The 24,269-nt window shown below is 38.5% G+C and overlaps 1 protein-coding gene across 5 annotated transcripts in view, besides 1 other annotated feature; it reads left to right on the forward strand.

Moving 5' to 3' along the window:
• Nucleotides 1–24,269, forward strand: part of LYPD6 (LY6/PLAUR domain containing 6) — a 156,394-nt gene that overhangs the window by 115,533 nt on the left and 16,592 nt on the right. For 4 of the 5 annotated variants that reach the window (NM_001195685.2, NM_194317.5, XM_024452699.2 and 1 more), the window contains 2 exons: nucleotides 3,532–3,630; nucleotides 23,128–23,258. In NM_001195685.2, the coding sequence (NP_001182614.1) occupies nucleotides 3,532–3,630; nucleotides 23,128–23,258 (230 nt within the window). The remainder of the gene's footprint in view (nucleotides 1–3,531; nucleotides 3,631–23,127; nucleotides 23,259–24,269) is intronic. The other variant, XM_047443400.1, reaches the window with a different exon arrangement.
• Nucleotides 4,628–5,168: an enhancer, noted in NCBI's record as "NANOG hESC enhancer chr2:150306659-150307199 (GRCh37/hg19 assembly coordinates)". NCBI's record gives its function as "activates a minimal SCP1, AML or CMV promoter by ChIP-STARR-seq in naive and primed H9 embryonic stem cells {active_cell/tissue: H9 hESC(naive and primed)}" and the evidence as "EXISTENCE:reporter gene assay evidence [ECO:0000049][PMID:30033119]".

The following is a 24,269-nucleotide window of genomic DNA, read 5'->3' on the forward strand; positions in this document are numbered from 1 at the left end:
ACTAGATTTTCTGGATAACTTGCTGCAACTTCTTCATTAGCACTTTCCATTATACCTTATGATTTTATGTTATGGAAATGGATTTTTTCCTTAAACCTTGTGAACCATTCTCTGCTAGCTGCAGACTTTTCTTCTGCAGCTTCATGTCTCTCAGCCTTTATAGAACTAATAAGAGTTAGGACCTTGACTTGGATTAGGCTTTGGTTTAAGGGAATGCTGTGGCTGGTTTGATCTTCTATCCAGACCACTCAAACTTTCTCTGTATCAGCAAAAAGGCTGTTCTACATTCTTAACATTCGTGTATTCATTAAAGTAGCACTTTTAACTTCCTTCAAGAACCTTTCCTTTATATTTACAACTTGGCTAACTGGCACAAGAGGCCTAGCTCTCAGCCTATCTCAGCTTTCAACATGCCTTCCTCACCAGTCTTAATCATTTCTAGGTTTTGATTTAAAGTGAAAATTGTGTTACTCTTCCTTTCATCTTAACACTTAGAGGCATTTGTAGGGATACTAGTTGGCCTAATTTCAGTATTGTTGTATCTCAGGAAATATGGAGGTCTGGGGCAGGGAAAGGGAGAGAGAGAGAGATGGAAGAATAGCAGGTGGATGGAGCAGTCAAAACATACACATTTATTCAGTTCACCATTTTATGTGGGTGCAGTTTGTGGTGCCCCCAAACAATTATAATAGTATTTCAGAGATTACTGATCACAAGTCACCATACAGATACAAAAGTAATGGAAAAGTTTGACATATTGCAAGCATTCCCAAAATGTGACACAGACATGAAGTGAGCACGTGCAATTGGAAAATGACACCGATAGACTTGCTCAATGCAGGGTTGCCACAAAACTTCAATTTGTAAAAATACAATATCTGCAAAGTGTGCTAAAATGAATGGTGATACAACAAGGTACACCTGCCCTTACCAAAATAGAACCTTTCAATTCAAATGTAACCCATTTTTCTATAGGTGGGTAATGTGAAGGTATAAAAAATATTTGTTTATAGTTTACAAAATACTTCTCTTTGTCACAATTATATGACATTTTCCCCCTATTAAAATTTCCTCATGAAAATGGAGTGGTTGGATGGCTGTGTCTAAGCTGCTTTCCATCATTTTGTAAAATGATCTATGCACTTTTTCTATCATTCTGTTTATGAATTTGAGTTACTATGTGAGAGAGAGCACGCAGATGGGCCCATAAAAAGTTCCGATTACTTGTCTTTTTTAGACTGTTTATGACTTTTGATCATGACACATTATTTGATATTGTCATAGTCAGGTCTGTGAAGTAATGCAAGCATGTACATGGATGGGCAGCTATTCTCGGCAAGGTGAAAATCAAAGTGATATCTGGTCCATCATTCTGGCCTTAAGCTACTGCCTTCTCCTTCATTTATTTTTGATAACATATCTAATTGGTTCCATGTGGGCAGAGCAATTTACCCTGAGATGATTATTTCCGCCAGTGGGATATGCAGGCTCAGCCATCTGCGAGAGAGAACAGTTGGCTCCTGCAGATGAAGTGTTTGAGTGTTTGCAGCTTTCAAATAGGCCAGGTAATTTTACAAATTAAACAGCACAAGTTTTGTTTATGAAAGGCAAAACTCTAAGTAGTGAAGCAAGCAAATGATTAGAGCTAAGAAGCAATTAAATGCACATCAGTAGTAAGGACAAAGAACAGCTGGGCCTGACATTCCTCGGTGATCCTCATCTTTTTGTGGAGAGAAGGCCTTGGGTGCCCGCGACAGCCTCCAGAGCTCAAATCTCATGTGACCCCTCCTCACCTGAGCATATAGGTGAAGAATCAAAGCACTTGGAGGACAGTTCCTTCTGAAGGCAGGAAGAGGCAACTCACCAGTGGGAGCAGTAGGAAGAGATAAGTGGGGCTTCCTGGAATGGCCTAGTCCTCAGGCTAGAACTGGTAGCCTCTGGTGCCTCATCCCCACATCCCCCCAGCATCTAGCTTCTATGGACATGGGTCCGAAAGGCACCTGAAGAGGGTCACCTCTGCATGGGCAGCATATATTTTAGCAATGAAGACTCTTCTCTTAGCTAAGGCTTACCATCTCCAGGGGTTCATAATGACATCAGGTCTGAACAGATAAAAATTTTACAATGTACCAGAGAAATTGCCACTTTTGTAGATTGAAATGGTCAAACATCAGGAAATTTTATGATGATTCAACCCAATATTTTTATTTGCATGTTGACATTTGTGTATAAGTTGACATGAGTAAGTTATTAGAAATCCAGAGAATGCCTTTTTAATTAAAATTTTTATTGAGATAATTTTAAAGTCATATGCAATTTTAGGACATAGTACATGATGCTGAGTGTGGTAGTTCATGCCTATAATCCCAGCAGTTTGGGAGGCCGAGGCTGGAAAATCCCTTGAGGCCAGGAGTTTGAGAAATAATACAGTGAGATCCCATGTACCCATTATCCAGTTTGTCCCAGTGGTGACATTTTGAAAAACTATAGCATAGGCCGGGTGTGGTGGCTCATACCTGTAATCCCAGCACTTTGGGAGGCCAAGGTGGGTGGATCACCTGAGGTCAGGAGTTCAAGACCAGCCTGGCCAACATGGTAAAACTCCATCTCTACTAAAAATACAAAATTAGCCGGGTATAGTGGCACATGCCTGTAATCCCAGCTACTTGGGAGGCTGAGGCAGGAGAATCACTTGAACCCAGGAGATGGAGGTTGCCATGAGCTGAGATTGTGCCACTGCACTCCAGTCTGGGCAACGAGAGTGAAACTCAGAAAAAAAGAAAAGAAAGAAAGAAAAGAAAAACTATAGCATAATACCACAACTAGTATATTAATATCAATACAATCGGTCTACCAATGTCATTCTGATTTCCCTAATTTTACTCTGTGTGTGTACATTTAGTTCTACCTAATTTTATCATGTGTAGGTTTGTGTATCCTCCACCAGAGTTGAGACACTGAAGAATTTCAGTAACACAAGGGTTCCTCCTACTGGCCTCAAACCCACCTCTCTCCCCACCTCTCCACCCCTACCCCCACCTCTGCCATCCCTAACCCCTGACAACCACTAATCATTTCAAAAATGTCATATAAATGGAACCATGCAATATATAACGTTTTGGGATGGGCTTTATTCACTCCAAATAATTTCCTGGAAACTCACCCAAGTTGTTGAAAGTAGTAATAGTTCATTCCTTTTTATTGCTGACTAATGTTCCATAGTATGGATGTCCAACAGTTTGTTTAACCATTCACCCACTGAAGGACATCGAGGATATTTCCAGTTTTTGGGCTATTACAAATAAAGTTGCTGTTGACATTTGTGTACAGATTTTTGCATGTATACAAATGTTCATTTCTCAGGGACAGATGCCCAAGAGTAAAGTTGCTGGGTCATATGGTAGTTGAAGGTTTAAGAAACTGCTAAGTTGTCTTGAGAATCCTTTCTTTAAAATAATGAAAATGTCTTAACTTCACAGGATTCTGTGCCTTGTCTAAAAATTAATCTTTTCTCTTAATCCTTTTTTTTAGCCACACCATATCCTGGTGGATTTAAATGTTTCACCTGTGAAAAGGCAGCAGACAATTATGAGTGCAACCGATGGGCTCCAGACATCTACTGCCCTCGAGGTAAACTCTCAGTAGACTGATTGGGGTCCCCTGGGCTGTCCGTGAGTGAACAGCCCTTTTGACTTTGGTGATGTATAAAGAGAGGCATGCTTGCAATCTCAGCTGCTCCTCTTGTCTAAGGCTATTAGATCTTTTGTACCACACCAATAACTTATCAGAGATTCTCAGAGACATAAACTGAGCCATAGGATTGTTTCCTTTCTCATGAAGTATTTTTGGCACTCCACAGGAGGTGATACCTTCGCCTGTACCCCCGGGCCCAGTCAAATGTAGGAAAAGAGAACAGCCAGTCTGTCTGCCACTCTGAGGCATTAGTCAGTGCATAGTAACCTCTTTTATGTAATGTATGAATTGATGTTCATATAAAGATTCCATTGATTACATATCTTGCCAGAGACTTTCATGCAGTCTCTAGAATTTAGAATTCTGAATGTCATCATTGCACAAATAAAATCCCTGAGATTTTTAAACTATTAAGTTTTTTTTGAAGGATGAGATGAACACTGAACTGAAGCATGGAATTTTGACCGAAAGGCCCATTTCAAAATAAATACCCATTATATTCATGTCTCTTTTATCCTATCAAAAAGAAATAGATGGTTATATTTGGCTACAGAGTCACTGTTAACTGGCTATTTTACTTTGGAGGAAAGTCTATTTATTTGGTGGGGGTAGAGATAATGAGCACAGGGAATTTTATTGACAAATGTTCGAGTGAATAGTTAGATGGGTTTCACTGCTGATCTAATTCAGTTGTTAAAATGGCTTGGACACAACCACACCAAATCCATTATTTTTCAGTATAACACGAGTATTATATAAGAGTTCTCATACTTAACCCAGTGAATGGTATTCTGCCTCTTGTGGAGGATTGGAAATTGGGAGAGCATGGAAACCAAAATTAAAGGAAACATGTCAACTATCCAAGCTAGTACTCTAACCCAGGAGCCTCCACTCCACCTAGTGTGTCCAGTAGAAACACCTGTGGAATTTTTCAAAGAAATCACTGAAAGCCTTGCCCTGTCTAGACCAGTGGTTTTCAAGCTTCAGCAGCAGCATCATTCTCCAGAGGGCTTATTAAAACATAGATTTCTGCTCCCACCCACTTCTTCACCCACATTTCTGATTCAGTGGGTCTGAGATAGGGCCTGAGAATTTGCATTTCTAAAGGGTTGTCAGGTGATGAGTTAAGAATCACAGCTCTACACAAATTGAGCCAGCATTTCTGAGATTAGGGCCCTGCATTGGTACTTTAAATATTGCAGATGATTCTAATGAAAAGTCAGGGGTAAGAACCACAGGGAGCTCCTCTACATAAGAAACAGAAATGTAGTGTTGTCATTTCTAGGCTCTTCTTGTTGACTTTTAGGTAGAGATGATAATAGGGCCTACAGGGCAGAGAAAAACATGGAAGCACTAAAGATTGGCTTAACTGAAAACTAGATATCCAGCCGTCTGAGTAATCGAAAATAAGTTTTATTGCCGTCTGTAGTCACTGCTCATTTCCAAATGGGCCAGTATTTTCTAACATTACCACTGTGGAATGAACATTGCTAATGGATCTGATTAAACCACTGCTTCTCAGACTTGGCTGTCTATTGAAATTACCTGGTAAACTTTCGAAAACACTAACACCTAGATTTGTTCCCAGCGATTCATATTAAATGGTCCAGCTAGGCATAAGGATTTTTAAAAGCCCTCCAGATGGTTCTAATATGCAACCAAATTTAAGAACCATCATGAACAGTGACTTCAGGCAAAACCAAGATGATTTGCTTTGTATATCTAGTCATCTTTGGGCTAGTTCCTGTGGTGATAAAGCTGGCTGATTTGCTTTTGAAGCTGTTGCCCTGTTGGTCAGAGCTAGTATATAGGAAGCGTGTTTTAGTCCACTTGTGATGCTGTCATAAAATACCTCACACTGGGTAATATATAAACAATAGAAGTTATTTCTCGCAGTTCTTGAGGCTGGGAAGTCCCAGATCAAGGTGCCGGCAGGTTCTAGAAGGGCATAGACTCTCTGCTTTCAAGGTGACACCTTGCTGCTGCATCCTCTGGAGGGGAGGAACACTGTGGCCTCACGTGGCAGAAGACAAAAGGCGGGGAAGGGAACAGACCCACTCCCTCAAACCCTTTTATAAGGGTCCTAATCCCATTCTTGAGGGCTCCAGACTCATGACTTAATCACCCCTTAAATGCCCCACCTCTTAATATCCTCACATTGGTGATTAAGTTGCATATGAACTCTGGGGGACACATTCGGACCATAGCAAAATGTGACTGCTTCTCCTGGTACTGACTGAGCTTTGAGGTAACCTTAGTGGAGATAATGCAGAGGAAAAAGGAATGTGAACTGGTATTCTGTGTAGGCTCTGGGCCACGTTTGATGGTATACAAGTATATCCCTGTCAAAAAGAAAAAGCAAGGGACCAGAAACACTGCTTGAATGCCTCACAGAGAAAAGAGGAAGTTCCATCTTGATACTTTCTTTTGAGGTCATAATCTATCATTTCAAAGTCCAGATACCTAAAGGTATTGCAGAGTGGTCTCTACACAATTTATCCTTTTCTCTTTTTTCCCCTCTACTTTTATCTTTCTGTCCTTCAATTTAAAGGGATAAATAGAAAGTCATGCACTGAGGTTCAGAACACAAAACAACCATGCTAGGCCCCTTGGGGAATTACAAAGTGAAAGATAGGAATCTGGTTTCTTCTTTCAGGGAGCAGGCGGTTTAGTTGGGCTGATAGGATCTGAACATATCAGATGTCAAAATTAGCAGGACAAAGGTAAGTGCCAAGTGGAACCTGGCATTAAGCACTGTGGGAGTTTACAGGAAGAAGAGCTACTGGGGACTGAGGTAGCCAGCAAAAGCATCACGTGCTGAGAAGATTGCAGTAGCTCTACAACTTGGAACTGGAGGTCCAGCATTGAAGAGAACATGTCTTCCAGGAACTCACTCAGAGCAAAGGCATAGAGACAAGACTCCCCAGGTGTGCTCAGTGGATGGGGAGAGAGCTGACCTGGGAGTAGCAACTAGTTTGTATGAGAGAATTAGGGACCCAAAATAGTGGAGCCAGGTGATTTTTGTGGGGCCTTGAGCATCAGGTAAGGAGTGGGAACTTAAAGCTGTAAGCTGAGAAGGGGTGAGGCCACACTCAGCTTCCTGCTTGGCCAGCCCTATTTCCCACGAGTCTTCTGCTCTTTCCTCCAGGTTTTCTTCAGATTTTTCTAACAATGAAAATAATGCCATTTTATTAATAAATTAAAATAGAAAATGTATTTCACTAGTAGCTAACTCTAGATTTTTCTGTTAGTAGTCTGAAGCAGCTCTAGGACTACCAATGGGCTTAGGAAGGGCAACTGAGACACTGCTATGGAAATTCTAAGACATTCCTGGGTTTTTTTGGTTTGCTTTGTGACATAGTTAACTGGGTTTAAATTATCACCTGATGTGAAAATAATTTGTTGAAAGTGAAAAAAATCACCTCATCTAAGTATTCAATCTTATAAACGCAGAATAAGTGCACACCCCAAATTGCTTAGGGGATTCACTGAATGTCAAGAATTTTCTAAAGCTAACCTCAGTCACATGCATGTGCATAGAGACATAGTGTATCTTAGCGACTGACATTCAGGGATTCAGACTTGTTTTGAGTTATTGTTTGGCCAAGTAAGTGTCAGGAAAGCTTTCTCCTGACTGGAATCACTCTTTTGGCAGTGGCGGCATCAGCTGGACACACCTCTAGCTAACTCAGGTTCCCTGTCTCTCTTCTTTTCAGAAGGTGTGTGATATAAGGGCGTTCTCCTCCATTACATTATTTGTGCCTCTGGTGCTTCCAGATTCATAGTACTATACTCCCTTCCTAGAAATGGGAGCTTAAGATGCTCTCCATAACTGACTCTGGTTGCTTTACTTGCTTGGCTTCCATTTCATCTTTGATCTCTGAGCACTTCCTTTGCAACAACTTTAATTTCATCAGCTACTCATTATAAATCTGTTCAATTTTCTTGATTTTGTGAACCAGAATGGAAAAGGATCTTGAAATCACATTACGTTAGGAGCCAATTGAAGGAACTGATGATCTAAAACAAGAGTTGAATGTCGTGTGCTTGGATCTACGTTTGCCCATGACTTTTCTCTGTGCTGCAAGATGAAAAGATCCTAGAGAGAGGGACTGTAAAAATGGTTATTAAAAGTCTATGGAATTAAATGTGAAGTCAAAGACATTCCAGTTTTTAAAAAGGCTTGTTTTGTGGAGGATAGCTAAGCCAAAGACATTATGTTCCTCCTTAATTATGAAGTACAGATGCCTCCCTCTAAGGCAAAATCTCCATTTGAAAATACTGCTGATATATAATCAGAAAAAGAAAATTATTGAGTTAGAGGACACATATTCTTTTGGCTCCAGCTTCTATGCTCTTCACTGTTTTTCTGTAAAAGTAAAGAAAAAGCTGGACATATCCCTTGATGGCTTTTTCCAGATTGGTTGCCTGATGGTTCTTGCTACAAGCAGGAAATGTAAATGTGATCCTCAGCTCAACTGAAGACAAGACCATAGTTACAAATTTTCAGGAACGATTTCTTTATTGTTGACTTTTTTCAGACATAGCCCAGGCTGAAACAGACAACCTTTGTGTTTGACTTAACCTAAGGGTGGAATTTTCTTCCTTTTAGGCAATTTTACAGTTAGAATATAGCCCTCCAATTTTTTTTCATTTATACAGGAGTCTCTGTTGTCTCTCTGAATCCCATGGGGACCCAACGCCTTGCAATTTATTATGGCTTATCTTTTAACATTGTTCTTTCCCTAGGATAGAGAAATCAATACCTTATCCAGTGTTGGCCCTTGACACTTTCCTTTCTGGAGAATTCATTTGTAATTTACAAAAAGTGCTGGTTACATTTTATCCAACACTTCTGGCTGCTATGTAATAAGATGTTTTTCAGATGATCTCTCATCATATTATTGTCATATTGCTAAGTGAAAGTCTTAGACATCCTCCTTTTTAAAAGTAATTTTAAAGTTGAATATACATACCGCAAAGTGAAGAGATCATAAGTGCACAATTTGTGAATGTTTACAAAGTGAACATGCTGTGTTTCCACCCATATGAAGCAATAGAACCCCAGAGGCTGCTAGGGTGCCCCAGTCATTATACTCCATCCCCAAAGGTAACAATGTTGAGACTGTTATCATTGAGCATCACATATGTGGAGTTGTATAGAATGTACTCCTTGCTTTCAAACATTATGTATGTGGCATTCCTCCATGTCTTTTCGAGCAACAAAGTCATGTTTTCTCAGGGATGTATAGTAGATCATTATATGAATATACCAAAATTCATCTATTCCACTATTGAAGGACATTTGGGTTGTTTCCAGTTTCTTAATACTATGAACATTCTTCTGTATGTCTTGTGGTACGTGTTCATATGCGTTTCTGCTAGGTCTTTCTCAGAAGTGGGATTGCTAGGCATGGGGCATGTAAGCATTGGCTTTACTAGATACTGCCTGACCGTTTGCAAAATGATGGTACCACTTACAATCTCACCAGCAGTGCATGGAAGTGCTAGTTGCTGCACAATCTTGCCAACACCTAGTATTGACAGAAACAATAGAAGGTAGAAGTTAACCAGATGACATTTTTAAAGTGCTGAAAGTAAATAACTGGCATCCTGGAATTCTATGTGGAGACCATCAGTCTCGCTTCTCTGAACCTCATTTCTCCTGCGGCTGCCCTGCTAGCTCTGATCTCCTGTTTGTGCTCCCAGTCCCCTTGAGACCGATGAAGGTGCTGCCCTACTTCTCTGCCCCTTAGCAGAGCTTTCTGCTTGGTTTCTCAGCCTCTCCACCTGTGCAATTTTTGAATCAGCAAATGCCTCGAGGGGAGAACAGGTATAGAATGTCAGGCACCACTCAGGGGGCTTGTCTTTTCTCTGGTACCTTGCTCTTTAAATCCAGTCTACAATGGCAGGCCTGTGCTTTCACACAGATTTTTGTTGTTTACATTTTAATTGGCTATTTTAATTTTATTCTGTTTCTTGGTAAGCCATCCCATTTCAGCTGGCATTATAATTCTCGGAATTAGTCTTAGAACTTTTCTAGCAAGTTTTTTTTTTTTTTTTTTTGAGACAGAGTCTTGCTGTATTGCCCAGGCTAGAGTGCAGTGGCACGATCTCAGCTCACTGCAAGCTCCGCCTCCTGGGTTCACGCCATTCTTCTGCCTCAGCCTCCCGAGTAGCTGGGACTACAGGCGCCCACCACCACACCCAACTAATTTTGTGTATTTTTAGTAGAGACAGTATTTCACCATGTTAGCCAGGATGGTCTCAATCTCCTGACCTCGTGATCCACCCACCTCGGCCTTCCAAAGTGCTGGGATTATAGGTGTGAGCCACCACGCCTGGCCTCCAGCAAGTTTTTAACCTTAAGTCCTATCAGCCCATACAAGACTTTTTTTCGTACACTGAGAGCATCTAACCTTCTCCAATTCACAATATTTTGTCCAAATATGTTTTACAAATCCAGTTGCCTCAGCTGGGATGCTTCCATTTGATGGTCTGCCTTATCACTTTTATCCTGACCACTGTTCACCATAAAGTCCTGTCTATCCTCACTACCTTTGCATACCTTCCCAGCTGCCTTTTTGGAATTGGCCTTGGTAATAAGTACATTGCCTTCTGAATTTCAGTGATTAGTTTTAAAAGAAGTTCCTCCAGTGAGAGGTTCATTAAGAAATGTGGATGAATATTTTTTAGAAGAAAATAGGGAAGTCTCCATTTGGCAGCTTCCTCAAAAGGTGCTGACTTCAGGGTAGAGGAGACTAACCAGTTGTGATTCAGTCAGTTTGATGAGCATTTATTTGTTTTTAATTTCTGCCTTGAGGAATTTTTTACTTGGAACAAGAGGAGAAAACACATCTTTTTAAAAGATCTATGGAGAATAATTGTTAAGAGCAGAAAAGCCAAAACAATAATCTGGTGCCTGAAAGCGGAGACTGTAGTAATTACTAATTAGGGTAAGTTTAAAATAATTCAGTTTATCTGCAACTCAATTTGTAGTTCATCCTTTTCTTGAGTCTATTTTCTTTCATCTTGGGCTCTTTTTTTCTTTCGCTTTCAATTTTACTGAACTTTGAAGTATAATGTACATACCAAATAGTAAATAGCATGATGGACTTTCACAAATTGAATACTCCATGTAAGCAGCACCCTGATTAAGAAATGACCAGCATCTTAGAAGCTCCTCGCATGCCTGTTTTCAGTCACTTTTCCTACCACCAAGGGTCGCTGTTATAGACTGACTTGTGTCCTCCCCATTTTTCCCCCTACCTGCTCTCAAATTCTTATGTTGAAGTCTTAACCTTTAGTACCTCAGAATGAGACCATATTTGGAAATAGTTTTTAGAGAGGTAATTAAGTGAGGTCATTCAGGTGGGCCCTGATCCAGTCTGACAAGCATCCTTATAAGAAGAGATTGGAACACAGACAGGAACTGAGGGAAGCTGTTGTGAAGACACAAGGAAAAGACTGCCCAAAAAGAGAGGCCTCAGAAGAAACCAGCCTTGGCCAACACCTTGATTTTCAATTTCTAGCCTCCAGGACTGTGAGAAAACCTTTGTTTAAGCATTCATTCGGTGGTTTTTTATGGCAACCCTGGAAACTAATATAGTTACCCTCCTAATTTCCAGTAGTGTAGGTTAATTTTGTCTTACTGGGTTCTTTGTAGAAGTGGAATCATGCAGTATAACTCTTTTGTATCTGACTTCTTTCACTCAATATTATGTGAGATTCATCCATTTCGTTAGATTTAGTTGTAATCCGTTCATTCTCATTGTTATGGGAACAGATACTATAATTTATTCATTCTGTCGCTAATTGACATTTTTACAGCGTGTTTGTACAAATAGTTCTTCTATGCACGTTCTAGGACTTATCATTCTTGTTGGATGTATATTGAGGAATAGAATTTTAGCTTCATAGAATATGCATAGGTTTACTTTTAGTAGTCCTGGCAAATAATTTTGAGAAGTCATGATAGTATATGAAAATTGCACTACTGGTAGAAGTGTAGTATTATTTCTCTTTTAAATTTGATGAGACTATTCAAATTCAATGGAAGATATGTTATAGACGTCGTAGAACTAAATTAAAATGTTTTAATTTGGTTCAACTTTGAATGGAAGAGCTTAGCTAGATATATTCTTCCTACCCATCCATCTCTGCTGGTAATACAAGAGTTTATTAGAGATTAAATGCCTGCTATTGTGTGCAATGCCCTGTGTTATATGTTGGAGGGAATGCAGACACCAACAAGAATGGGCCTGATTCTCAAGATTATAATGTATAATACAACAGTAGATCTCAACCAGGAGCAATTCCCTCTTCCCTGCCCGAAGTATATTTGTCAATGACTGGAGACATTCTTAGTTGTTACTATTGGCAGTGACATTGGCATCTAGTGAGAAGAGGCTGTTGGATGCTTTAAATGTCCTACAATTCACAGAGCAGTCTGCCCAAAACAAAATTATCTAGCCCAAAATGTCAGAAGCTGAAAACTCCCATTTCTGGAAAGATGGAATGGATGTACTTTTCTATTCCTCCTGCTAAGTATGACAAAAAATTCTGAACATTATTTATTAAAAAGCAAACCAAAGACATGAAGGGACTCTGAAAGGTGTAAAGAAAATGACAGACTAGGGACTTCAAGACTCAAGGAACAACACAGTGCTGAGTTCACTAGGTTTTCTTTCAGTCTCATATATTCTAGACTTGAAGCTAAAGAAGTCAACATCCTGCAAATGCCATAGGCACTGGCAAAATAACCCCCCAACAGAAGTTTGCTCTCTAGCAGAAGGACCAGGAAGGGGGAAGCCTAGAAAGATAACTTTTAGACAATAGCTGCTCTACTGCAGCAAAACACTATGGAAAAAATTGTAGCCCCAATCCCATACCAGCAGAGGCTGAATGGAAAGCCTTGACTTCATCCTCAATAGGCTGTAATGAGATGTCCCAACCTTTCTGCTTGGGATTGTGTCAGAGAAGGACAAGTAAAGGTGACACTTGTCCCTCCCCACCAGGCAGTAACAAGGTCTCTTCCACAGTGTCAATGGAGACCGTGTTAGGGAGCCTAGACTTTCACCTCCACCAGCAACAATGAGATGCCTCTACTTTCCCCTGACCAAGGTTGTGTCAAAGGAGGCTTAATGGAGAGTCAAGACTTCACCCTTCACCGCCACCCATTGGTATTGAGGCTACAACACATCTCCCATCCCATGGCATTAGTAGAGGCTACATGGGAAGCATTAATGAGGCACTCTTACCACTCTCAAACAGGGAGTATAAGATCAAGAGTGTCCTAACATAATAACAATATGTCCAGGCTTCAATAAAAAAAACCACTTGTCATACCAGGAAGATCTCAAACTGAATGAAAAATAGCAATCAATAGACACCAACACCAAGATAAATACAGATGTTAGAATTATCTGGCAGGGATTTTAAAGCAGCCATAATAAAAATGTTTCAGTAAGTAATAACAAACACACTTGAAACAAATTTTTAAAATCTCATCAAAGATATAGAAAATATAAAGGAGAACCAAATGGAAATTGTACAATTGTAACATAATGTACCTGAAATAAAAATCTCAATAGATGGGCTCAACAGCAGAATGGAAGGAACAAAGGGAAGAATTAGTGATGAATTTGGAAAACAGAGCAATAAAAATTATCCAATCTGAACAACAGGTAGAAAATAGGCTGAGGGGAAAGAAACCTCTACAGAGCCTCAGAGATCTATGGAGCTGTAACAAATGTTTTAACACTACATCATCAGAGTTTCAAGAGAACAAGAGAAAGAGGGTGAAGCTGAAAAAAGTACTCAAAGAATTAGCAGCTAAAAGTTTTTCTAAGAAGCTGAGCAAACCCCAAAGAGGACAAAACTAAAGCAATCCACACAAAAACACATAATAATAAAACTTCTAAAAACAAAACGTCTTGAAATAGCAAGAGAAAAAGAACATCTGATATGAGAAACATTAGTTGAATGAAACGTTTTCATCAGAAACTATGGAGGCCAGAAGTCAATGGTACAATATTTTCCAACTGTTAAAAAAAGCTATCAATGCTGAATCTTATATTCAGAGAAAATATCCTTCAGGAATGTGAAGAAATTAAGACATTTTCAGGGGAAGGAAAACTGAGAGAATTTGTCACTAGCAGACCTACCTTAAAAGAATGGCTGAAGGAAGCTCTATATGCAGAAAGGAAATGATAAAAGAAGGAAACTTGAAACATCAGAAAGGAAGAAAAAACTTAGTAAACGTACTTGATACTACAATGCAGTACAACAGAATGTCCTTCTTCTCTTGAGTTTTCTGAATTATGTTTGACAGTTGAAGCAAAACTTATAATGCTGTCTGATGTGGTTCTAAATATATTGTAGAGGATTATTTAATACAATTATATTACGGCCAGGCACAGTGGCTTATGCCAGTAATCCCAGCACTTTGGGAGACCAAGGCAGGTGGATCACCTGAGGTCAGGAGTTCAAGACCAGCCTGATCAGGTTGATGAAACCCCATCTCTACTAAAAATACAAAAATTAGCCAGGCTTGGTGGCAGGCACCTGTAGTCCCAGCTACTCGGGAGGCTGAGGCAGGAGAATCGCTTGAATCTGGGAGGCGGAGGTTACAGTGAGCCAAGATCACACCACTGCACTCTAGCCTGGGTGACAGAGTAAGACTTTGTCTCAAAAAAAAAAAAAAAATTATTACAAACAAGTGAAGGTATTAGGGCATAAAAAGAGGTAAGTTTTGTACACTTCACTTTAATTGGTAAAATTATGATGCCAGCAGGATGTGATAAGTTTTGCATATAATTTAATACCTAGCGCAACAATTTTAAAAAGAGATATACTCAAAAGCACTGTAGATAAATCACAATGGAATTCTAAAAAACATTGATGTAACCCATAGGAATGTAAGAAAAAACAAAAACAAGACAGAAAATAACAAAATTTGTCTTACCATATCAATAACTACCTTAAATGTAAATGGCATAAATATACAAAATAAATGAAATGTATTGACAGAATATGTTAAACCATGACCCAAATATATGTCATCTGTAATAAATTTACTTCAAAATAATTATATAAGCAAATTAAAAGAATGGAAAAAGATAGTAGGGAAACATTAATCAAAAGACTTCAGTGCAGATAAAATTACCAGAGGCAGAGAGGAACATTATAGCATGATTAAAAAGAAGCCCATCCACTAAGAAGATATAGCAATCTTAAGTATATAAGCATCACATAACAGAGCTGAAAAATATGTGCAACAGAATAATATAAAGGAAAGGAGGAATAGATAAATCTACAATTATAGTTGGAGACTTCAACACCACTCTTTCAAAAACTGATAGAACTACAGAAAGAAAATCAGCAAAGATATAGAAGAATTCAACAGCACCATTAACCAACAGAATCTAATTGACATTTACAGAACACTCCATCCAGCAACACCAGAATATACATGGTTTTCAAGTGACCATGGAACACATACCAAAATAAACTATATCCTGAGCCATAAAGCAAACCTCAACAAACTTTTAAAAATTGAAATCATACAGAGTGTTTTCTGACACAATAGAATTAAACTAGAGATCAATGACAGAAAGATAAAAGGAAGGTCACCAAACACTTGGAAACTAAACAGTGCACATCTAAATAATCCACAGATCAAAGATAAAGTCTTAAGGGAAATTTAAAAGACAATGAACTGAATGAAATTAAAACATATGAAAATTTGTAGGACACAGCAAAAACAATGCTGAGGCCGAAATTTATAGCACTATATGCACATATTTAAAAACAGGAAAATCAATTCTCTAAGCTCACACATCAAGAAGATGAAAAAGGAAGAGAAAAACAAACCAAAAGTCAAACAAAGCAAGACTAAGCAAAAATCAGGAAATAATAATGATAAGAATAAAACTCAATGAGAATACATATACTAAAACATTTCATTGTACACCATAAACATATACAATTTTTTTCAATTAAAATCAATGGAGAAAAACATTAAGGTACTAAGAAAAGGAAAATAAGGGAATAGTATGAACAACTCAAAAACATAAGTTTGACAAGTTAGATGAAATGGACCATAACTCAAAAAACAAAGTACCACAATTCACTAAAAATGAGATAAATAGTCCTATAACTCCTAAGAATTTTTTTTATAACTTAAAAACACTCATAAAAGAACTCTTCAGGCCCAAATAATTTCACTGGAGAATTTTACCAAGTTTTAATAGAGGAATTAACACCAATTCTAGATAAAATCTTCCAGAAAATGGAAGAGAAGGGGGAATACTCAATTCATTTTATCAAGCTGGAGTTACCCTGATACCAAAACCAGACCAACACAGCACCAAACAAACAAACAAACAAATACAAAATTCCAATCTATTATTTTTTTATGAATATAGACACTAAAGTTCTTAACAAAATATTGGCAAATAGAATGTAGCAATATATGAAAAGAATTATGCACCATGACAAAGTGGGGCTTAGTCCATGGATACAAGGCTGGTTTAATCTCTGAAAATCAACCAATATAATCCACAGTGTTAATAGGCTAAAGATGAAAAATCACATGTTCATATCAACCAATGTAAAACAATTGTCAAAATTAAACACCATTTATGATTAAAACCTCTCAGAAAAATAGGAATAGCGAGAAACTTCTTCAACTTGATAACATCGATTAAAAACCTACCACTAACATTATGCTTAATGGTAAAAGACTGCATGCATTCCTGCTAAGACAGAGAACTAGGCAATTATGTCTGCTTTCACTACTTTTATTTAGTGCAACCCTGTAGATTCTAGCATGTGCAATAAGACAAGAAAAGTAAATAAAAGACATACAGATTGGAAAGGAAAATATGACTGTCCTTTTTCACAGACAACATGATTTCTATGTAGAAAATTCCAACAAATCTAAAGAGAATTCCTGGAACTAATAAATGAGTTCAGCAAGGTCATAGGATATACGATAAATTGAGAACTCAATTGTGTTTATGCTATCAATTAACATGTGGACACTGAAATTTAAAATATCCCATTTATATATACCATTTAAAAATATACCATTTAAAATATAGCATTATATTGCTCAGAAGAATTAAATACTTCCAGGTAAATCTAAGCAAAACATGTATAGGACTTGTAAGCTGAAAATTATGAAACGTCAATGAAAAAAATAAAATTTAAATAAATGGAAAGACCGTGTTCATAGATTGAAAGACAACATAGTAAAATGTCAGTTCTCTACAGATTGTTATATAGGTTTAACACAATTCCTGTCAAAATCCCAGGAAGATTTTTTTTTTTTTAGATATAGACAAAAGTGTTCTACAGTTTATATGGAAAGATAAGAAACTGGTATAGCTAAAACGATTTTGAAAAAGAAGACTAAAGTAGAAGGAATCAAACTACCCTATTTCAGGATTTAATATACAGCTGTAGTAATCAAGACTGCGGTACTGACAGAGAAATAGACATAGATCAATTAAACAGAATAAATAGACCTTAAAAATATGCCCATCTAATTTTTAACAAAGGTGTAAAAGCAATTCAGTGGAGGAAAGACAGCCTTTTTAACAAATGGTACTGGAGGAACTGGACATTCACAGGCAAAAAATGAATCTCAGCCTAAGTCTCACACTTTTTACAAAAGTTAAAGTGAATCACAGACTTAAATGTGAAATGTAAAAACATACAGCATTTAGGAAAAAATAGAAGAAAATCTTCATAAATCTAGGGCTAGGTGAGGTTCTTAGACTTAATACCAAAAGCATGACTCATAAAAGAAAAAATAATAAATTAGACTTCATCAAAATTTAAAACTTTTTTACCCGGCACAAGACCCTGTTAAGAGAATGCAAATGCAAGCTATGAAATGGGAAAAATATTTGCAAATCACATATCTGACAAAGAACTGCTATCTAGAATATATAAATAATTTTCAGAACACACCAGTAAACAAAATACATCATTAGAAAATAGGAAAAATATGAATAGACATTTCACCAAAGAAGATAACCAGATGGCAAATAAACACATGAAAACATTTAACATCATTAGCCATAAGGGAAATGCAAATTTCAAACATGAGATATTATGATACTTCTATCAGAATACCTAAAATAAAGAATAAGAAAAATGCCACATGCTAGTAAAAAGGAGGAGAAACTAGATCACTCAATACGTTGTTGGTAGGAATATAAAATGTTACAGCCACTCTGGAAAGCAGCTTGACAGTTTCTTAAACAACTAAACATGCAACTACCACATAACCCAGCAGTTTCACTTCTGGTCACTCATACAGAGAAGTAAAAAGTTATATTCACACAGCAACCTCTACACAAATGTTCATGGTAGCTTTATTAATAATATCTCTAAACTGGAAACAAACCTGGATGTCCTTTCAATGGCTGAATGGTTAAACCAACTTTAGTACATCTATGCCGTGGAATACTACTCAGCAATAAAAGTTAACAAACTCTTAAAAATTAACAAACCCAGTGAATGAGACTGAGTGAAAATGCCCAGTTCCAAAATACTACATGTTGTGTGACTCATTTATATAACATTCTCAAAATGACAAAATTATAGAAATGCAGTACCATTTAGTGGTTGCCAAGGGTTAGGGAAGGGGTGGGGGCAGGAGGGAAGAGGATGTGACTATAAAAGGTCAACATGAGGGATCCTTATGGCTGTGGAGAAGTTCTGTATCTTGATTGGGTTAATGTCAATATCACAGTTGTGATATTATACCATAGTTTTGCAGTTGTTACCATTTGGGGAAACTAGGTAAAAGGTGTAGAGGATCTCCTATTATTAATATTCCTTACAAATGCATGGGAATCTACAGTTATCTCAAAATAATAGGTTAAATTAAAAAAAAAAAAAACAGTTTAAACACAAAAAAATCAATTGTTTTGATCAGGAACCATGATCTAGAAGAAAAGCCAGATATCCCAAATGAGAAAGTTAAGAAGGACTAAGACAACATGGAGAAGAGAGAAGATTAGCATTGACCTGGTTGGGAGGAAGATCAGGAAGATTTCACAGAATTTATCACATTTGGATTGAGCCTTGAAGAATATCAGGTGTCCAGGAGTAGAAGATAGGAAAAAATATGCAGACCATGCTAAGGATGCACATTTTTCATCGTGCATGGTCAAAAGTTGTGGTACTATGTCTCAAGGTATATACGAGGCAATGAGGAGACAGTTTGGAGCCTCCATCAAGGAGAACCGTGAGTAATGAGGGCTGAGTTTCAGATGCCAAGCTCTGAGTTAGAAATTAAATTAACTGATGATTCTATCAGGGAAGCGCAGTTACTCCAATGCACTTGACACACAGCTTCGGGAGCAGAGAGAGCAATGGCCTATTCCCAAGCCACTCAGGCAGGCCAAATAAGCCTAGTAATTCAGCAGTCAGGATTCCTTGACAATTAGGTGGCATTCATGCTTTTGTGCGTGGCGGGTTGCATGTCAGAGACAAAACAAGAAACAATGAGGTCCGGAATTGAGGAAATGGAAAATGGAATAGAAAAGACCAGATGGATAATGGAGACATTTCAGAAGACTTGGAGACTCCCAGATTAGGGAGAAAAGTCTGAGCTGATTCCAGATTTCTAGTTCAAGTTACTGGAGAAGCTGGAGGTACAATATCCCAGGAGGTCCCTTCCTGAGATAGACACATGTGAAGATAAAAAGATGCAAGGGGGAGGGAGATAATGCGTTGGGTTGAGACACATTAGGTGTGAGGTAATGCTGGAAGTGTCCAGAAAATAGTTGGTAATTTGGTTCTACAGTTCAGGAAAAAGACTCAGACTGAACACATGGCATGAGAAGTTTGATGAGGCCACTTGAGTGAGAAGAGGTTCAAGGACAGAACATGGGAGAATATCGACTTTCATATTAGGGAAAGTGTTGAAAGTGGAGAGAACAGAGATTAGGAGAACATCTGGAAGACAGAACTCTGAAGTCTAGGATGGAGAGTCCCACAGATGAGATTATCCATAGTAGAGTCCCAGAGTCACAAAGAGATCCTACAGGGTCAGACATGGGAAAAGGGCATGGAATTTGATGCGTAGGGCACAGTTGTTGCAGGGGAGTAGTGTGGCAGAAGTGAAGAGCTATGTGAACAGTAAGGAATGGGGGCAGGGAGAGAGCAGGCAGCTGCGACTGGCCTTTCATTTTTCAGTATAATTCGTAATATTACTATTAAAGTATTTTCCTCCCATTAATTTTCTTGCACCTGGAAAATTATTCTCTAGCATCATTTTTATCAACCTGTATGTTTGTGAAGAAACTAAAACAAGCAGAACCATGAAGAATAATTGAGTGGCAAGAAAGCCTTTTATAAGAAAGTTGGACATTTGTAATGTCTCAATTCAAATCATCTTATGTATGTTTTGTTTAAATATAGTTTCTGTTATTAAAAACAATATTGGTGGGTAAATGAAAGTTTGCAATTTAGCTTTGGGTTACTTTTAACTTTCAGAACGAGATTATGAACTCTGTGTGCATGCGTGCACATGGGTGTGAATTTCATAAAAATTATATTTTCCAATTGTTGATGAAGTTCTCTTTCCCATTTCTGATTTTAGTTGAATGCCTGTTAATCTAATAGTAAAAGACTTTTGTTTCACAACCTCTGGGAATACCATGTAGTTGCAGAATATGAGATTTTAGAGACAGAAACTAACCTGGTGGAAATTCAAATTCATCTTTTATCTTTTAGATAAAAGCCTTTGAAATCCTTTTAGTGTGAAGTTATCAGCAGGCTTGATTCTCATATTACCTCATTACTAACCCAAGGAGTTTTCAAAATGCATAGAGAACAATGCTCTGTGGCTGAAACTAGGTTTTTATCACTACTCCAGTCCAGTGATAAGCCAAATGTGGCCCACCTAGTTCTACTTGGGAAATTCTGCCTGCTCACCCCGATAAACCTTTGGAGATCATGAGATCACAACACATATAGAAGGTTCTCATAAGTTGTGCACTGAAGAAACCTGTTCGAGTTTATTTGAGCATTTTCAAAACTTCTTAAACCACAGAACCTTTTTCCACATTAACATTTCATAACTCACCTAGGGTTTTTGTAAGATAAGAAGTGGAATAAATGCTTTTGAAGGATTGATGCTTCAGCACTGAGGTCTGTACTGCTGGAAGTGATGGCAGTGTTCTCCATATATTTTTGTTTCATGGATTGGACTGGGTGAAGTACAAGAAAAAATTCTTACTGCACTGATCTCCCTTCTACCCCCAGAATGGCAAAAAATCAGCTTATTAGGTACTAAGGTTTTGCATGTGTTCCTGAAAAATTATTTTTATCAGTTGTTGCGTCTACTGTCATTCAATGGAATACGCTCTCCATTATGTATAAGATATTTTGTTAAAGATAGAAAAGTATGAACAAAGAAGTAGTCATATCAAGTTCACCAATTGTTATTTTAAGGCTTACTTAAAACAGGATAATTCACTACTTGGGGGAAAAGGCTGATTTCCAAAACTGCAGCTATGTAGTGATTTACTCATTCCATAAGCCTATGATCTTATCTGCTCGGATTTACATTTGGAGCAGTAAAACCTCTGGCAGCTGCTCTTAGCTGTCTGCATGAAGAGGAGACAGGAGATAAGAACATTCCTGATTTTATTGCTTTCTAGAACATTTGAAGTTGGGGTGGGGGTGGGAAAGATGAACCTATTGTGACCATAAACGTCCATCGAGTCTGATACCAAAGAAGTAAACCAGTCCTCTTAGAAGATGTGGTAAATCTCCCAGGCCACTGGCCTCCATTTGTCAAAACCTGTTAAGGCTTAAAAAAGAGGAGAGCTGCTGCCTCTTCTTCAACAGAAAAGCAATCACTCCAATGTTAAGATAGTTTAGGGCTTTGGGATAATTATTGCCAGGTAGAAAACTTTCAACTATTCTTATTGTGAGCTCCCCAGATGACCTTACCCTACTCCCAAAGAGCTCCATAGGACCCTGGGCAACCTTGGAGCAAGCTTCAGCCCAATCCAACTAACAATTCCAGCCGGGATGCAGTGTGGGACAGCATTTAGGGGAGGGTGTTGCCACAGACTCTGCCCAGGCACACCTGCCAATAGCATCACCACTGGGAAAGTGGCAGCTCTTAGTACGACTTAATTGGAGACCATTTGGGATTCCTGTCAGGTGAGGGTCTCTAGGAAGACTGTTAAAACCCCTGAGTTTTGATGACTTCCAGGATGTGTTGAAGGGTCTGTATTAGCTCATTCTCAAGACCTAAAATTTTCTTACGCTTTCTTCTTTGGACATTAGTTCTTCAGTTAAAAGCTGCCAAAATCATGACAGAATCTGGTGGGGGAGAGGGGAGGAATTTGTATTGCCTAATAAATAATCTCATAGAAGGTCATAATTCCATATTAGCCACTAAATATCTGAAATGTATAAAGCATGCAAAGTTGGATCCAAGATGTGGATGAAAAACAGCTCGGTGACATTTCTTAAGAATTATTCATTTTCTTTTTTAATGTGAAAGTAGAGCAAGAACATTCTCCTAAATCCCAGACTTAGAGAGCTGAACATTGCCTGGAGGCCATAAAGAATTACATTGACAAAGCCATTTTTCTTTAGTTTTTAAATTACACATTAAAAGTTCCCCCAAAGAATTTTGGAAGAGATCTCAAGCTTTCAGATTCATTAGACATAGAGGGACCTCTGGAAACTCCCATCATGGTCTTCATCTGTTGTCCTAGGAAGACACTGAAATCATGCTAGGGAGAAACGAAGCTCCTCAATTTTGGAAAAATGTTCATTATTGTTTCAGTCTTCGTCTGTAATGCACCCTGGACCCAGCTATGCTCATTGGCACAAAGTTTTAAATTGTTCTGCTCTTGTGAATAGCTGCTTCCCCCCAACACACACACACACACACACACACACACACACACACACACACACACACACACACACCAGCCACTGCTGTAGTGTTTTATCTCCTTGAGGACTACTGTTACCTGCCTAACTCATTTTAACCCTGAGTTCTTTGAACCTCTTTGTCCTTTCATCTTCCTTAAAATTGCTATGACTTATACCTCTTAAATCATCCCCGCAAAACCACTCATCCCCTAAAAATAAAAATCAGTCCAGTGGCAAAATTTGTTGAAAGGCAAGGAGAAACCATTGTGTCTTGGTTTATGGGAATAATGCTGGGCAGAGAAATCAATATTCTTTGAAGGTTGTCCTCCTACCATGGCAAAGTGGAGCTCTCCAAAGAGGTCTTTGGGGTTGGACATAAACTCAAAGCAGTGCACATCTTATGTGCTATTAGCTCTTTTCTGGAATGATAATGCTGACACTCCTGTTATTTTCCTTTTAGGCAGGTTTGGTCAACATTTCCCATCTCAAATATATTTTCTCTGTTGACAGAGACCAGATACTGCTACACTCAGCACACAATGGAAGTCACAGGAAACAGTATCTCAGTCACCAAACGCTGTGTCCCACTGGAAGAGTGCTTATCCACTGGCTGCAGAGACTCCGAGCATGAAGGCCACAAGGTCTGGGCAACAGAGCAAGTGACCAGTACTACATAGCCAGCTGCCTTCTCTTCAGACATCTGCCAGTACTCATGAGCAGATTCTTACTCCCCCGTGAAGGCTGTCTTTTGATTGTCTTTATGCTCTATGAAAAGACGCTTCCTTTCCTGTTTACTCTAAAAGAATACACATTTATACCAGAGCATAGGACAACTGATATAAATTGTGTAAACACACATGAAGAGGGTGTTCAGTGTTATTGTAATAACTTTCTTCACTCAGAGGAAAGTAATAAAGCTACCAGAAAAAAGAGGAGCAAGAGACCAGTTATGTCCATCACAGTGAAGCTTTGCAGATGTACCCAGTTCATTCATCACAGGAGGACCGACGCAATTCAGCTTTGATAACTTTCTGTAAAGTAGGGCTCATGTTGTGACTGGGATGTTAGTTTGGGGAGGGTCTCCATTGGCTCTTGAGTCATTTGATAGGTGATGGAGACCCATCTTGTGTGTTCGCTTAAGCTTCACCTGGTACCTGTAGAAGCCTGTATACGGAAACACATGGTGCCTATGTACAGAAGCACTCAGTGTAAAATGAGCTTGGGAGGCAGCCTTGAAGGGGCATATGGACAATCACAGAAAGGCAGCCTTGCCCTCTATACGTGTGTCTATACATGTCTATATGCTGTCTATACGTGTGACCTTAACATAGCATACTTTGGCCTTTATTTAGCAGCTGAACACTTCTGCAGGTGGCCTTCCTGGTGGTTTGGGCAATGTCCATTCTCAATACCTGGGAACAGCACTGTTTCTTAAGAAGGCAGACACCTAATTTTCAAGCAACCTCTTGAATACACTAATAATTAAAATTTTAAATATAATCTGCCTATTCTGCTCCTGGTTCAAAATGAGTAAAACCAAAGGCTTTCCCTGACCTCTCCAGCAAATTGGACTTGATTCTGAGGAGTTACTGTGGCCTCTTTACCAAGGAGAAAGTTAAGGATTAGAGAAATTGGGTCATATGCTCGGTCAC

This window comes from Homo sapiens, chromosome 2 (assembly GCF_000001405.40).
Source record: "Homo sapiens chromosome 2, GRCh38.p14 Primary Assembly".
In the NCBI taxonomy this organism is placed as follows: Eukaryota; Metazoa; Chordata; class Mammalia; order Primates; family Hominidae; genus Homo; species Homo sapiens.